The sequence below is a fragment of the Homo sapiens genome, chromosome 11, assembly GCF_000001405.40.
Source record: "Homo sapiens chromosome 11, GRCh38.p14 Primary Assembly".
Taxonomy (NCBI): Eukaryota; Metazoa; Chordata; class Mammalia; order Primates; family Hominidae; genus Homo; species Homo sapiens.
The window spans coordinates 17,440,075-17,454,184 of NC_000011.10; the positions used below are offsets into that span (position 1 = coordinate 17,440,075).

At 46.7% G+C, this 14,110-nt stretch overlaps 1 protein-coding gene across 6 annotated transcripts in view; it reads right to left on the minus strand.

Moving 5' to 3' along the window:
* Positions 1-14,110, minus strand: part of ABCC8 (ATP binding cassette subfamily C member 8) — an 84,348-nt gene that overhangs the window by 47,577 nt on the left and 22,661 nt on the right. For all 6 annotated transcript variants that reach the window (NR_147094.2, NM_001351297.2, NM_001351296.2 and 3 more), the window contains exons 7-10: positions 13,045-13,209; positions 8,442-8,597; positions 3,104-3,238; positions 2,646-2,808 (exon numbers count right to left, since the gene is read on the minus strand). Coding sequence is in view for 5 of the 6 variants with exons in the window: in NM_001351297.2 (NP_001338226.1) it covers positions 2,646-2,808; positions 3,104-3,238; positions 8,442-8,597; positions 13,045-13,209 (619 nt within the window). In the remaining variant the exon portion in view is untranslated. The remainder of the gene's footprint in view (positions 1-2,645; positions 2,809-3,103; positions 3,239-8,441; positions 8,598-13,044; positions 13,210-14,110) is intronic.

Sequence of the window (14,110 nt, forward strand, 5' to 3'; positions counted from 1 at the left end):
TCACCTGCCCCCACTACATGACCTGAGGCTGCCCCAACTTCACTGCTTGCTGTGCCAGGAACCTTGGGGACCCAGTGCCCCCACTTTCCTTGTTGTTTCCCTTCCCTCTCTCTATCTCAGCAACGACAAGCCTGCTCTACCCCACCCTGTTGTTCCTGGGAGAGGAAGTCCCCCGGCTATCGGGAGAAGCCCTCTCCCACCTCGGCAGCTGTTCCTACTGCTGGGAACTGTCTCTAAACCTGTACAAAACTGGGGGGCTATACACAAGCAGGGGGTTACTCTTCATGTAACCAGCCTCCAGGGGCAGGCAGGACTGACAGAGAGAAGGTTGAAGTGGGCCTGGGGCTAGGGACATTGGCTTTTCTGAGCTCCCTAGATGTTCCTTCCAAATTTCCCCTGTCTATGGAGTGCTTAGCCTGAGTGTGTTTGGAGGCTCTGAGAACCACAGGGTCAGGGATGAGGATAACGGGGAGAGACCAGGAACTTGGGGTGTCTTGGTGAAGAATCCAGGAAACAGTGGTTGCCTGCCATGCTCACAGCTCCATTCTGAGAAAATCAAATGCTAGCAGGACTTTCTGCATAAAACGCCATGGCTTGCACCATGTATGGCAGACGGCCCAGCCACTGATGACTGGACCACATTCCCTGCCTGAGGCATAGGACACCATGGTCTAGCTGGACAAAGGGAGGTTGGACTCCTGGGGTATTCATGGCCAGCCCCATACTGTGAGAACACTGCTATGGGATATTTCCCCAGTCCCCTAGACAGGGACATGCCTTGGTGCCCATGTTTCCAAACTGTCTTGGGGAGTGGGACAGCTTGGTGGCCACCTAGCTCCATCAGACTCTCTCTCTAGGCAGCAAGAATGCCAAGAATACGCAGATGACCTGAGTGACCGTCTCATTCTCCATGAGACTTGTTGGATGGGTCTATCTGGGAGACACTACCAGCACCCCCTCCATTACCACCTTCCCTCCCCCACCAGGTGTGTCTCTTCCTGGCACCAAAAGAACCAATTTTAGTTGGAGGAGGTGGTCGGTAGCCTCTCTTAATTTCCTACCCTAATTCTACTCCTTTCAGAGCCCAGAGATTTTTTTTCTCCTAGGAGGAAATGGCCTCATAATGGTGCCCCATGGTGTCCTAAGTCTTCTTCACCCCACAGAGGCCCCCAGCTCTTTGTGGAAAATAGCCTGAGACCAGGAGTTAAGAGACTTTGGAGGATCTAGTCCGAGCCATGCTACTAACCTCAGGAGGGATCTCAGGAACACACTCCCCTCTGGCCTTAATTTCCCATCTGTAAAATGGTTCTACCAACTTACTCTCCTTGCCACGTTCTGTGTAATCCCCACTCATCTGTCTTCTAATTCAAAAATTCTCTCTTCAGCTATACTCATTCATGTAACCTGTGCACTGAGTAAGTTTTGGTTTCTTTTTTGTTTTCTTCTTTCCAGGGGCTTCCACTTGGCCATAATGACTCTTAGACTGGACAGGTCAGGGAACTAGTGTGAAGTCAGCTGGTTGCTAAATATCTACATCCCAATTATGCACTTGGGAAGTAACCACCATGGGATGGGTCCACGGAGCCACGAGACCAACTGTGAGATAAACTTGGGCCAGGACTCCATGGATCACCTGACCTCCGTAAGCCCTCACTCTGACCAGGGGACCATTGTTCACTGAATTAATTTCCATAACTAAAATTTCAATTTCTAAAAAATCTTTTGGGCTGGGCACAGTGGCTCATGCATGTAATTCCAGCACTTTGGGAGGCTGAGGCGGGTGGATCACGAGGTCAGGAGTTCAAGACTAGCCTGGCCAATATGGTGAAACTCTGTCTCTACTAAAAATACAAAAATTAGTCGGGTGTGGTGGTGTGTGCCTGTAGTCCCAGCTACATGGGAGGCTGAGGCAGGAGAATCACTTGAACCTGGGATGTGGAGGTTGCAGTGAGCCGAGATTTTGCCACTGCACTCCAGCCTGGGTGACAGAGCGAGACTCCATCTCAAAAAAAGAAAAAAAAGTTTTACATTCTCAGTAAAATGGTTTCAAGTATATGGGACTCTAGGACTTTTACCAGTTTTGGTCTTTTTCTTCTTCCTTGGCTTGGGGTTCCCAAACTACTTGGTTAATATAAATTCAGTCCCTACACCTGTGAGTACCTTCAGCCTGGGCTTCTGATATTTAAGGATAACTAGTCTTTTTCTTTTGCATAGCCCCAAGTGGATGGAAGCTTTCTTGTAGCTTCCCCAGGGCAATGACAGCTCAGTCTGACTTACTAAAAAGTCTTCATTCTTAGGAGAGTTCAAAACTGTGGTCATTTACTTACTTGCTGCTGTCTGTCAATAACATATCAGTTCCATGAGGAATGAAACTTCATCTCTCTTCCTCATCACTGTATCCTGAGGGCCAGCACAGTGTCCAGCACATAGCAGGCTTTCCATGCATGTTTGTTGGATAAATGAATGAAGAGTACTTTGATTTCTGGGAGCTTAGCTATCAGAGCCAGTTTGAGGCTCCCCTACTGAGTCGGATAATCTCAAGGCCTCCTGCTTCTGTCCCTGCACCCCCTCTTACCCGAGCTCTGACACCCTCTCCTTGCATGTACGCAGCAGCACCCAGGGCTGGCTGTGTGGGGTGAACTCACTGGAGATGGAGGTATAGATGGCAAAGGCCCTGAGGCTGGTCATCTCCTTCCTGCGGGTCGTCTCCACCCGCGTGCGGAAGATGTTCTCCCAGGCGTACAGCTTCAGCAGCTTGATGCCGCGGAGCATCTCGTTGGTCTGCTTCAGCCGCTCATTGGAATACTCCTGCAGGGGTCCCCGAGTCAGAGGGGAGAGGCTTCTGCTCCGTCTCCCACCCGAGAGGAAGGCCTGAGTGTCAATACTGTCACTGCCATGCCCGCCTCCTGTCCTCACCGGGAGGCAGCCTCCTCCCCCATTGACTCCATTTCCCAGACAAAGAAGCTGAGGCCTGGACAGGTGAAGTGGCCTACTCAAAGTCAAAGTCAAAGTCAATGACAGTGTGGGTGTGTGGGAGGAGACCTGCTGCTGTCGAGGGAAGGAGGGGAAGAGGGACAAAACACACACACCTTTGGGCACTCACCAGTGTGCTCCGCTGGGCCTGAGACAGCTTGGTGGCCACGAAGTACTGGACAGGAGCCAGTAGAATGATGACAGCTGCTCCAATTAAGGCACTGACTCCGAGTATGTAGTAGAGGAGAATCACACCCACAATGATCTGAGGAAGGGGTCATGGGTCAGGTCCCTTTGACCTGATGGTTGCCCTGCCAGGAGGTGCTGGCAAAATCCCTGTTTCCCCAGTCCCCTAGAGTGGGACAAGCCTTGGTGCCCAGGTTTCCAAATTATCTTGGGGAGTGGAGTGCAGGGAAGGAGGAGAAACAAAGCAATTTCAAAAGGAGGTTAGCATAATGGGCTCTCATGCAAGCAGAGGGTTGCTGGGCTGGTAACTAACTGCATTTATCTGCAAGGCTGGTTGAAGCCTTAACTCTCTCCAGTCTATTTTCCAGATGGAAATCTCAGAGATGAGATTGCACAATGTTTGTGACAGCACCTTTTGTTCTATTTGCTGGCTCTCAGGGCTTATGGTTACTGTCATTGGAAAAAAGTGATAACTGAGCAAAGAGGCAAAGTTACTGCACCCATGCCAGAAAAAACCAGCCTGGGGTCCGAGAATTCGCTTTTCATTCTTATGCTCTTGGTTTCTTTAATTTTTTTAATGAATCTGCCAGGTATTCCCTGAAAAGAGAATTCCTTCTGCATTTAGCTTTATGTAAATGACTGCCTACTTCTGAATATTTATGAGAAGTGTAAATGGCCAGTCCCCAAAGCGCCAAGATGACAGTTTCTCAGGTTGCCTTCAAAGGCAGACACCTCTAAATACAGGGCTTTTTCTCAAAGAACAGATGTGCTGGCTTCCTTAGCTAAAAAGAGAGAGAGAGAGAGAAAGGACTGCTTGCCTTGGTCCTGTAGTCCCAGAGCCCTACACCAGATTGGCATTAAGCTTCCAGCACCGCCTCAAGGATAAAGGAGTAAGTGGGAGGCCCTGTAATTTAATCACAGAATGCCTCCTGGCTTAGGAGGTATCTTAGAGGCTGGGAAGTGGCCCCTTCACCACCTGCCTCCCAGTGTTTAACAGGTGTTAGATGCTGGCATGGATGGGCAGAGGACCATGATAGAGATGAAGTACCCTCTTCCCTGGCCTGCCCTGCAGCATCACCCTCCTGGACTTATCTCTGGCATCCAGTCCTTCATTAGTTGTGCTCAAATGGAGGCCATCAGGGTGTTCTTCAGCCAGCTTGGGTTGGGCCTGACAACAAGAAGGCTCCCATGGCACCCCAAGCTCACTAACAGGGCACCTTGTGAGCCGGTGTCTGCACCCACACCACCTCCAAGAGACTGGCAGAGGCTGGGGTGGGAGCTGGTGCTGCAGCTGCTGCTGTTCCCTGGCTCCTCCTCATGCTCCCCCATCCCCTCCTCCTAGGTGCTCCCAAGACTCCTTGGTCCATTACTCTCTTCTGCACAGGTCTGAATGGCCCTCATGCAGAAGAAATCATGGATTCTGAGTGTGCAAAGCAACTGTGAGAAATAAAAGGACTATTTTGTCTCCTATTCACAGGTTAGGAAAAAAATCTAGCATAGTGGGGAGGACATAGTCTTTGGAGTCTGTGGCCCTGAGTTTCAAAGCCCCAGCCTTTTGCTGTGCAGTCTTGGGTGAGTTACTTAACCTCTCTGGTTTTCAGCTTCTCCATCTTTAAAATGGTGATTATAATGCCCACTCTGAAGGACTCTGTCCACTCTGCAGGACTATTGTGAAGATTAAATGAACCTTTATGATAAGCACCTAGAATTGTGGCTGGCATATAGTTGGAGATCAATACAAGATGGCCTACCCTCCTCTCAGAAAATAAATGAAAAAGCTTCCTGAGAACTCTGTCACTGGGGAACCGCAGAAAGGAGATGTGTGAGTATGGTGCTGCCACTGGTTCACTGCGTGGCCCAGGGTAAGGCACCTGCCCTCTCTGGGCCTCTGATACCCAGGAGACTGGGAAACACAGAGGCCTCCATTATAGCTAAATTCCTTAACCTGGTGTTCTTGATAAATGTCAGGGGGGCACCCATGAAGCCCCTGAAATTATAGCCCAAATGTTTGAGCAAGCATTTATTTTTCTGAGAAAGTTTCACTAGCCTTTCAAAAGTATGTGTAGATAAACGGTGGCCAAGGGCTGGGGGCGAAGATGAGGAGTGACTGCCAATGGGTACGGGTTTCTTTTTGGGGAAATGAAAACTTCCACATTTGTGATGATGGCTGCACAGCTCTGTGAATATAGGACACTAAAACCCACTGATTTGTATGCTTTAAATGAGTGGGTTATATCTCAATAAAGCTGTGTGCATGTGACCAAAAAAAGATTATGAAACAAGAGCCCTCAGGGCTTACACGGGAATGGGGCTTCTGCACTCATGTCAATATTATAAAAAGCCTTACGTGCCCTGTGGCTAACCAGGCTGCACACAGAATCCTAACCACATGAGTTTCTTTGCCATGGGGCTGGGATTGTATTAACTCCCAGGAGTAACACTGGTTCTTGAGTGCTGGTCAAATCTATAAGTGGTAAAGGTATATACAAACACAGAAAACCAAAGGACACTCCATGATAAATGAGCAAAGGTAAGAAATCAGTAGATATGAAAATCTCTACCCCCAGTGCAAGGGTTAAATTATACAAGGGAGGGGGGCTGGGACAGGGCCAGGCATAGGGCAAGGGCTGTTAATATTAGTTAGCACTATTAGCAACGATGCATGTGCAACAAACCCTGTGAGTACTAGTAACGGTAACCGTGCAGCAGGTTTAGTAGACAAAACCTGATTTCTTTTTTTTTTTTTTTTTTAGACCGAGTCTCGCTCTGTTACCCAGGCTGGAACGCAGTGACACGATCTCAGCTCACCACAGTCTCCGCCTCCTGGGCTCAAGCAATTCTCCTGTCTCAGCCTCCGGAGTAGCTGAGACTACAGGCACACGCCATCATGCCCGGCTAATTTTTGTATTTTTAGTAGAGACGGGGTTTCACCATATTGGTCAGGCTGGTCTCGAACTCCTGACCTCAGGTGAACCATCAGCCTCAGCCTCCCAAAGTGCTGGGATTACAGGAGCGAGCCACCATGCCTGGCCAACAAAATCTTACAAACTGCTTGTTCAAGGGGACACAACAGAAAGTGTCTTGTAGCCTTTTGAATGCTGTGTACATGTTAGGATCCTCCCAGGCTGTGTCTCTCTGCATCAGACCCTCACAGCCCAAAGTGTTAACTAATGAGAGAAGCATGGTCAGAAATCTTCATTTTTCATGTTTCAAAAAAAAAATTGTGTTAGAGATGAGGTCTCTCTATGTTGCCCAGGCTGGACTCGAACTCTTGGGCTCAAGCCATCCTCCTACCTCAGCCTTTTGAGTGGCTGAGACTACAGGCATGAGCCACCACACCCAGCTTAGAAAGTCTTGTGCATAAAAGGTTGGTTGGTAACTAAACTAGATGAGATCTCCAGGCCCTTTTGTAGCTTTTATAGTCATTGATCTGTCTTGGCAGAATGGAGCGGGGGCAGTCTGGGCATGGGTAGGTGGTAATGGGGGATGGCATATATGACTGTTCCCATAAAAAAGAACATCAGATTCCCTGCATCTCATCTTGTCTAGCTGTGTCCCTGTGGGAGCCTCTCCCCTTTTTTTCTTTTAATATTTTTAAACTCTAAGCTTTACAAGTAAGGAGGACCAATACAAATCACTGGAGATGAAGGTTTATGGAATCTTTATCCCAAGAAGCAATGGATTCTGGATTGGTAACACCTCACTCATACCAAACATGTGCAAGGTAGAGGGATCTGATATTTACGAAGTGAAGACTCTGGGGGCCACTCTGCCTGCTGTGTTACTTACATTATCTAACTGAATTGCCATAGCAACTCCAGAGGGTGGGCAGCCTCCCCATTTCATAGATAAAGAAACCAAGGCTCAGAGAGGTTAAGTATTTGAATCAGCCTGTCTCACCCAAGTCACTTTCTGCTACATCAAGCTCTCCCGGTGGAACCTTCCCGCCCTCTGGGAATGGGTCTGGGATTTCGGTTTCTGGCCTGAACACCAGGGTGAAGATTTAGTCCCAGGCATAGGACAGGATCAGACTCTGTGGTGGAAGAGCTCCGGGTGGGAGATGGGACACATGAAGCCCGAGGTCAGATCAATCATGCTGACGATTCTCCTCTGATTATTGGGGGGTAATGTACCTCTTCCTGAGCCAGCACCAAAGGTTGTCTTGCTTTAAAAAAATACCATGTTTTAACGTTTTTATTTTTATTTTTTAAGAGACAGGAGTCTCTCTGTTGTCCAGGCTGAAGTGCAGGGGCGTGATCATTGCTCACTGCAGCCTTGAACTCCTGGGGTCAAGCAATCCTTCCATCTCAGACTCCCAGGTAGCTGGGACTAAAGGGGCGCACCACCACATCTGGCTAAAAAACACCAGGTTTTGTTTGTTTTTGAGACAAGGTGTCACTCTATCGCCCAGGCTGGAGTGCAGTGGTGTGATTGTAGCTCACTGCAACCTCTGCCTCCTGGACTTTAGGTAATCTTCCCACCTCAGCCTCTGAGTAGCTGGGGCTATAGTTGTGAGCCACCACTTCCAGCTAATTTTTTGTACAGACAGGGTCTCACTTTGTTGCCTAGGCTAAAAGTATCATGTTGTTGATTTCCAAATCTTATACACGCTTATTAGAGAATTTAGAAACACATAAAGAAAATAAAAATCACTTATAATCCCACTATGTGATTTTCCAATTCTTTTTCATGTGTGAATCTGTACAAATGTATACATAACATATATTCCAGTTTAGTAGTAAGCATACAACATATACTATTTGTAACTTACTCTTTTTGCTTAAAAATACATCACTAACACTTTTTGATGTAATTAAATATTTTGCTACAACATAGCTTTTAAGATCTGTGGGCATTCCATGTACGATTTTTCTTTTCTTTCTTCTTTTTTTTTTCTGCATAGAAGGGGTCTCACTGTGTTGCCCAGGCCAGTCTTGAACTCCTGTGCTCATGTAATCTTCCTGCCTCAGCCTCCCAAAGTGCTGGGATTACAGGTGTGAGCCCCTGAACCTGGCTTGATTTTTCTATAGTTTATAAAGTTGGCTCCATTTTTAAAGTCTTAATGATACTGCCTTCTCTGGTCATTAAGAGAGATGGTCAGTGCTTGCAGAGTATGGGACAGGAGGGACCCAGAGGTACAGCCTGTGGTATAGCCAAGTGTGTGAAAGGTACAGGCAAGCATGGAGTGGAAGACGGTGTGCTCCTAGTTACTGGCCATGGACCAGCAGATTCTGGTTGTGTGTCCTGCTGCCCCCCTCCCTTCCCCTCAGCCCATCTAGTACCTGTACTGGCATAGCCCAGAGGTTTGGGCACAAGAAGAAAAACCACATGAGCTGATTGGTGTCGATGGCAACCAGATTACAGATCTGTCCAGCAGTCATTTCTCCCATGGACAGGTTGGAGGTGGACAGGTGCATAATTTTATTGTAAATCTTGGTCTAGAAATGAGAGCAGAGTGTTTCACATTCATCATCATTCTCATCATCATCACCACACCAGATGCCACCTGTTACAGTGTGCCAGGGGCTTCTCAGACAGTCCCCATGGTGCCCTAGAGCAGCTCTGTAAGGTGGTACTGTATCACCGTTCCAACTTACTAGTCTACTCCAGCACAGCAAGCTACTTCTCCAGCAAGTAAGGCCTTTTCCTGTAGACAGGACTTAATTGGTTCTTTATTTTTATTTAATTTAATTCATTTACTTATTTATTTAGAGACAGAGTCTCGCTCTGCTTCCCAGGCTGGAGTGAAGTGGCATGATCTCAGCTCACTGCAGCCTCCACCTTCCGGGTTCAAGCAATTCTCATGCCTCAGCCTCCGGAGTAGCTGGAATTATAGGCACGTGCCTACCATGCCCAGCTAATTTTTATATTTTTAGCAGAGATGGGGTTTTGCCATGTTGGCCAGGCTGGTCTCAAACTCCTGACCTCAGGAGATCCATCCACCTCGGCCTCCAAATGCTGAGATTACAGGCATGAGCCACCGCACCCGGTCTGTTCTTTATTTTTTAAAGCAGATCTTCATGTCCACTTGTATTCTTGATTTACCAGAGGCCAGTGGAGAACACAGATCAGAGCCATAAAAATGATGAAGTGGGGCAGGCCATCTGTTTTAAAGTGGCCTTCTCCAGCCTAGGGAGGGGATCTGCTCTGAGACCAAGTCCTGTCATAATTGAGCCTTGAAACAAAACAAGGGTTCGACTTTGGAAGGTCTGATGTGTTACACGACCGCGTGAGTCAGTCAGCCCCAGCACCATCCCCAGAGTGCAGCCACCCCAAGGACCCTCACAGGGCAGACAGAGAGCAGCCATGGTAATGGCCTCCCCGAGCTCTGAACCTAAACGCTTTATGTGCAGAGTGATCATGACTCGCAGAAAGACTGCAATTTTTGGATGTGTGCTCTTGAACAAGGAAAAATGCATCCGGGTCTTAAATGTCCTCAGGATGCCTGCTCTTGGATAAAATTCTATTATTCATTCTGTTGTAAGGTGGGCTCCCCGCCCTTAATTCCTCTTTTGTGTAAACCCAGGCTTTTTTGTGGGTCAGGTTTTCTTAAGGCAGGAACCTATTCTATGTCTTTCTGTGAGCTAATATACACCATGGGCAAGGTTTAAAATAATGAACCTATTCTGTCTTTCTGTAAGTTTATATATACCATGGGTAAGGTTTAAAATAATGGCAATGACATTTTTAAAGAAATCTATATACCTCCTAGGTTATGTGAAATGAGACTTCAAAAGATAATCACCTAGTTTCAGTGAAGTAGGGACACCAAGTGATCTGTGAAATAAAGTCTTATTAAGTGAAGACCAGCATACACAGAAATGCACAACTGACTGACAGCTAGTAATTATGTATAATTCAGGAATTGTGCTTAATAACTTTTTATGCACAAAGCGTGGTTATTCTCTAACCCATGAAGACACAGGCTCTCATCCGTAAGGGTACATTTTCCGGAAATCTCCAAAAGAAAGAAAGAAAGGGTTTTTTTCTCCCTAACTCCTTTCTTTTCTTTTTCTTTCTTTCTTTCTCTTTCTTTCTTTCTTTCTTTCTTTCTTTCTTTCTTTCTTTCTTTCTTTCTTTCTTTCTTTCTTTCTCTCTCTCTCTTTCCTTTCTTTCTTTCTTTCCTTCCTTTCCTTTCCTTTCTTTCCTTTCCTTTCCTTCTTTCTTTCCTTTTTTTTTTTTTCAGAGTCTTGCTGTGTCGCCCAGGCTGGAGTGCGGTGGTGCCATCTCGGCTCACTGCAAGCTCCTCCTCCTGGGTTCACGCCATTCTCCTGCCTCAGCCTCCCGAGTAGCTGGGACTACAGGCACCCGCCACCATGCCTGGCTAATTTTTTTTTGTATTTTTAGTAGAGACGGGGTTTCACCATGTTAGCCAGGATGGTCTCGATCTCCTGACCTTGTGATCCACCCGCCTTGGCCTCCCAAAGTGCTGGGATTACAGGCATGAGCCACTTTTTTTTTTTTTTTTTTTTTGAGATGAAGTCTCACTCTGTCGCCCAAGCTGGAGTATAGTGGCACGATCTCAGCTCACTGCAACCTCCACCTGCTGGGTTCAAGCGATTCTCCTGCCTCAGCCTCCTGAGTAGCTGGGACTACAGGTGCACGCCAACATGCCTGGCTAATTTTTGTATTTTTAGTAGAGATGGGGTTTCACTATGTTGGTCAGGCTGGTCTCAAACTTCTGACCTTGTGATCCACCCGCCTCAGCCTCCCAAAGCGCTGGGATTACAGTCATGAGCCATTGCGCTCCACCCCCCTAATTTGTTTCTATAATTAATGCCAGTATTTGCTTTTTGTGGCATAGTAATGAATCTCTCTTATTAACATGAAAGATTCAAGCAATTTGATAAAAACGATTATATGCTAACCATTAAAAAACCATTTTTGGCTCTTTTGGCATAATTGGAAAATGTAATTTATGACATACACACATTAGTATATTTAATTACAAAACTGCCCAACCACAAAAGTGGCTGTTGCTTGTGGTGGTGCAAGTCTGCCTGTCACTGGAGGGGTGTGAGGAGAGGCTGGGATTTCTAGAGAAGTTTTCTGAACTGAGCAACAGCTTGGTTCCTCCCAGCTCTGGGCCCCCATGAGTCTTAGAAGGTCTTAGATTTTCCTGGGCTTTTTCCACTATTGTCACATAATGACATCCCTGAGGAAATACTCTGCTTTCCCAGTGAGAAACCACTGGGGATGGGCAGGGTTGCCATATATAGCTGCACAGGTTGTGCACTGCACAACTTGGGAGGGCACCGTTCACACAGACTATTCCAAGATAGCCAGAGTTTGGACTCTGACATTGTCCCCAGCCCAAGCTATATCCTTGTCCTCTCGGTCCCTTTTCTGCAGAGCTTCTTCTCCTGTCTCCCACATGACTAATGTTAATGATTCTGAGGAACATTTCCAAAGAACAAGGTAGCTTCAGGATTTTACCACAACTTCATGGACATCACTAGGCATAGCTGCATCTAGTTATTCCCAATGCCCATTCTCCTCTTTGCACAGAGAATTTCTAGCAGTGCATATATAGCTGTCAAGAATAAAGACCAAGCTCTTTCTAGACTCTCTAGATACGGCCATTTGGCCACTTTCTCACCAATGGGATGCGAGAGGGTATGTGCAAATCAGGTATTACCATTTTAAAAGGAAAATGCGTTCCCTCCTCTTGTCCCTTCTTCTGGCTAGTTTAAATGTAAATATAGTGGCAGTTTCAATACCCACCATGGCTATGGAGACAAAAGTCACAAAAGAAGGCTGGCAGAGCAACATGACAGAAGAAGCCAGGTCTCTGATCATTGAGTAGCTCCTGTGTCAGCCCTGACTCTATCTGAAGAATAAACAAACTTCTATCCCATTTAAACTACTCTCAATCAGGATGTCTCTCTAGTCTGATAGCTGAACCAAAATCCTAGTGAAGACCCTGGGACTTGGACAACTCTCATCATCACCTTCTTCAGAGGGGCCCTGAACACTCCCTGGCTTTGATCATCTTTCCAGAAACTCTAAGAAGGAAATCACAGAAGGCAGGACCAAGAGCCTAGACTTAAGTGACCCAACAGACCAAATAGGTCACTCTCATTAGTGAGCAAGACTTAAGGGTTCAAATAGAACTTAGAGCAGTGGTCCTCAACCTTTTTGGCACCAGGGACTGGTTTCGTGGAAGACAATTTTTCCATGGACCTGGGGGAGAGGGATGGTTTCAGGATGAAACTGTTCCACTTCAGATCATCAGGCATTAGATTCTCATAAGGAACACACAACCTAGACCCTTGCCTGCACAGTTCACAATAGGGTTCGCACTCCTATGAGAGTCTAATGTAGCCGCTGATCTGACAGGAGGCAGAGCTCAGGTAGTAATGCTTGCTCCCACTGCTTACCTCCTGATGTGTGGCTCAGTTCCTAACAGGCCATGGACCAATACCCCATCTTAGAGGGGACCCTGTCTTAGAGGCTATCTAGACCTTGTATGTCAAGCACATTCCTTTTTTCACACCCAAAGAAGACTGTCTGGTAGCAGAACTCTGGAACAGCCACTTAGAGAGGATTCCAAGGTTGCATTTACCCTTGGTCAGAAAGAGTGCTGTGATCAATTAGTGACGTCTACCACTTTCAAGCCAAGGGCTGAGCAGCTGGATTTTCAGACCCAGTCCAAGGCAGAACCAGAGCCAGAGCTACACTGTCTCCCAAGTTCAGCCCAAGATATTTTCCACTATCCCACACTGCCTTGTCAATGGTTACTGTTTTAAAACATCGTTAATGGGCAACAAAAAATAAATTTACAGCAGAATTATTCTTGAGTGTCCATGAGGATGAATAACACTCATGGACATTATTCCTAATAATGGTTCTTATGGCAAAGTGAAAAAATAATCATCCAAGTACCTGTATTGCTCCTCTCAAGTTAATTCCAGTTTCAATGGCCACATAGTAGGATGCTTGCAGAAATGTCCTTTGCAGTAGGAGGGCAAGGAACAGAAGCACAGCTAAGACGTAGGCATTGGCAAGGAACTCTTGGGATGAGACAAAGTAAACCCCGAGAAATTGTGTCTGTTGGAAAGAGAAGTTCAGAGGTGACTGTCATTGCCAGCAAAATGACCACCGTAGAACACATCACTGTGCCATAATGGACCACGGCCATCATTATTACAAGACCCTCTGGGCTTGCAAAGGCTTGTGCAATTGTTTATGAGTGAAAAATCAGACTGATAAATCCAACTAAACGTTTTTCTAACTACAGGGAAGGTTGCTTACACCCTGTTCATCTTTCCACTTGGGGGAACAGAATGGGGCCCAATTACAACTGCAGGCCCATAAATATGACTCTTAGCATTGTGGCCACAGACCCAGGGGAGAGCATTCTGAATGGGGCAAGAATAAATAGAGCACCTAAAACCTGAACTGGTACAACAAGTCTCACGGTGCATGTTCTCTGCTACAGAAATGGAATCAGCAGCTCCCTTGTTCCGAACTTACCAACAGCCTGTAATGTAGCAATTACTGAGCAGAAAAGGCCAGTGGAAAACATGGCACCGTAGAGCTCTCAGGAGAGAATGAGAGCTCATCACTTACAAGAGACTGAAAAGATTTCAGACCCAAGCCCGCCAGCCTCATGGGCTCCCAGGGCCTCCTGTTAAATTTAAGGTTCTCTTGTGTACTTCCGGCAAGATCTCAGATGGCAACCAGTGAAGAAAAACAAACATTTTAACTTTGTTGCTAAAGATACCAGGGATCAACAGTGTGTCTATTTCCAAATTAAGCATCAATAACTCCCAGGAAAACTTTGATCTTGATAAATCCATTGCTCCCCAGCAGAGCCACATCAATATTTCCATGAAGACAGATCTCTGCTCTTTCTCAGACACTGCCCTGGACTGTGCATCCTGTTTGGCAGGGTGTGGGAGCTGCTGCAGGGTAAAGAGGGATGGAACAAAGTGATGAGAAGGAGTTT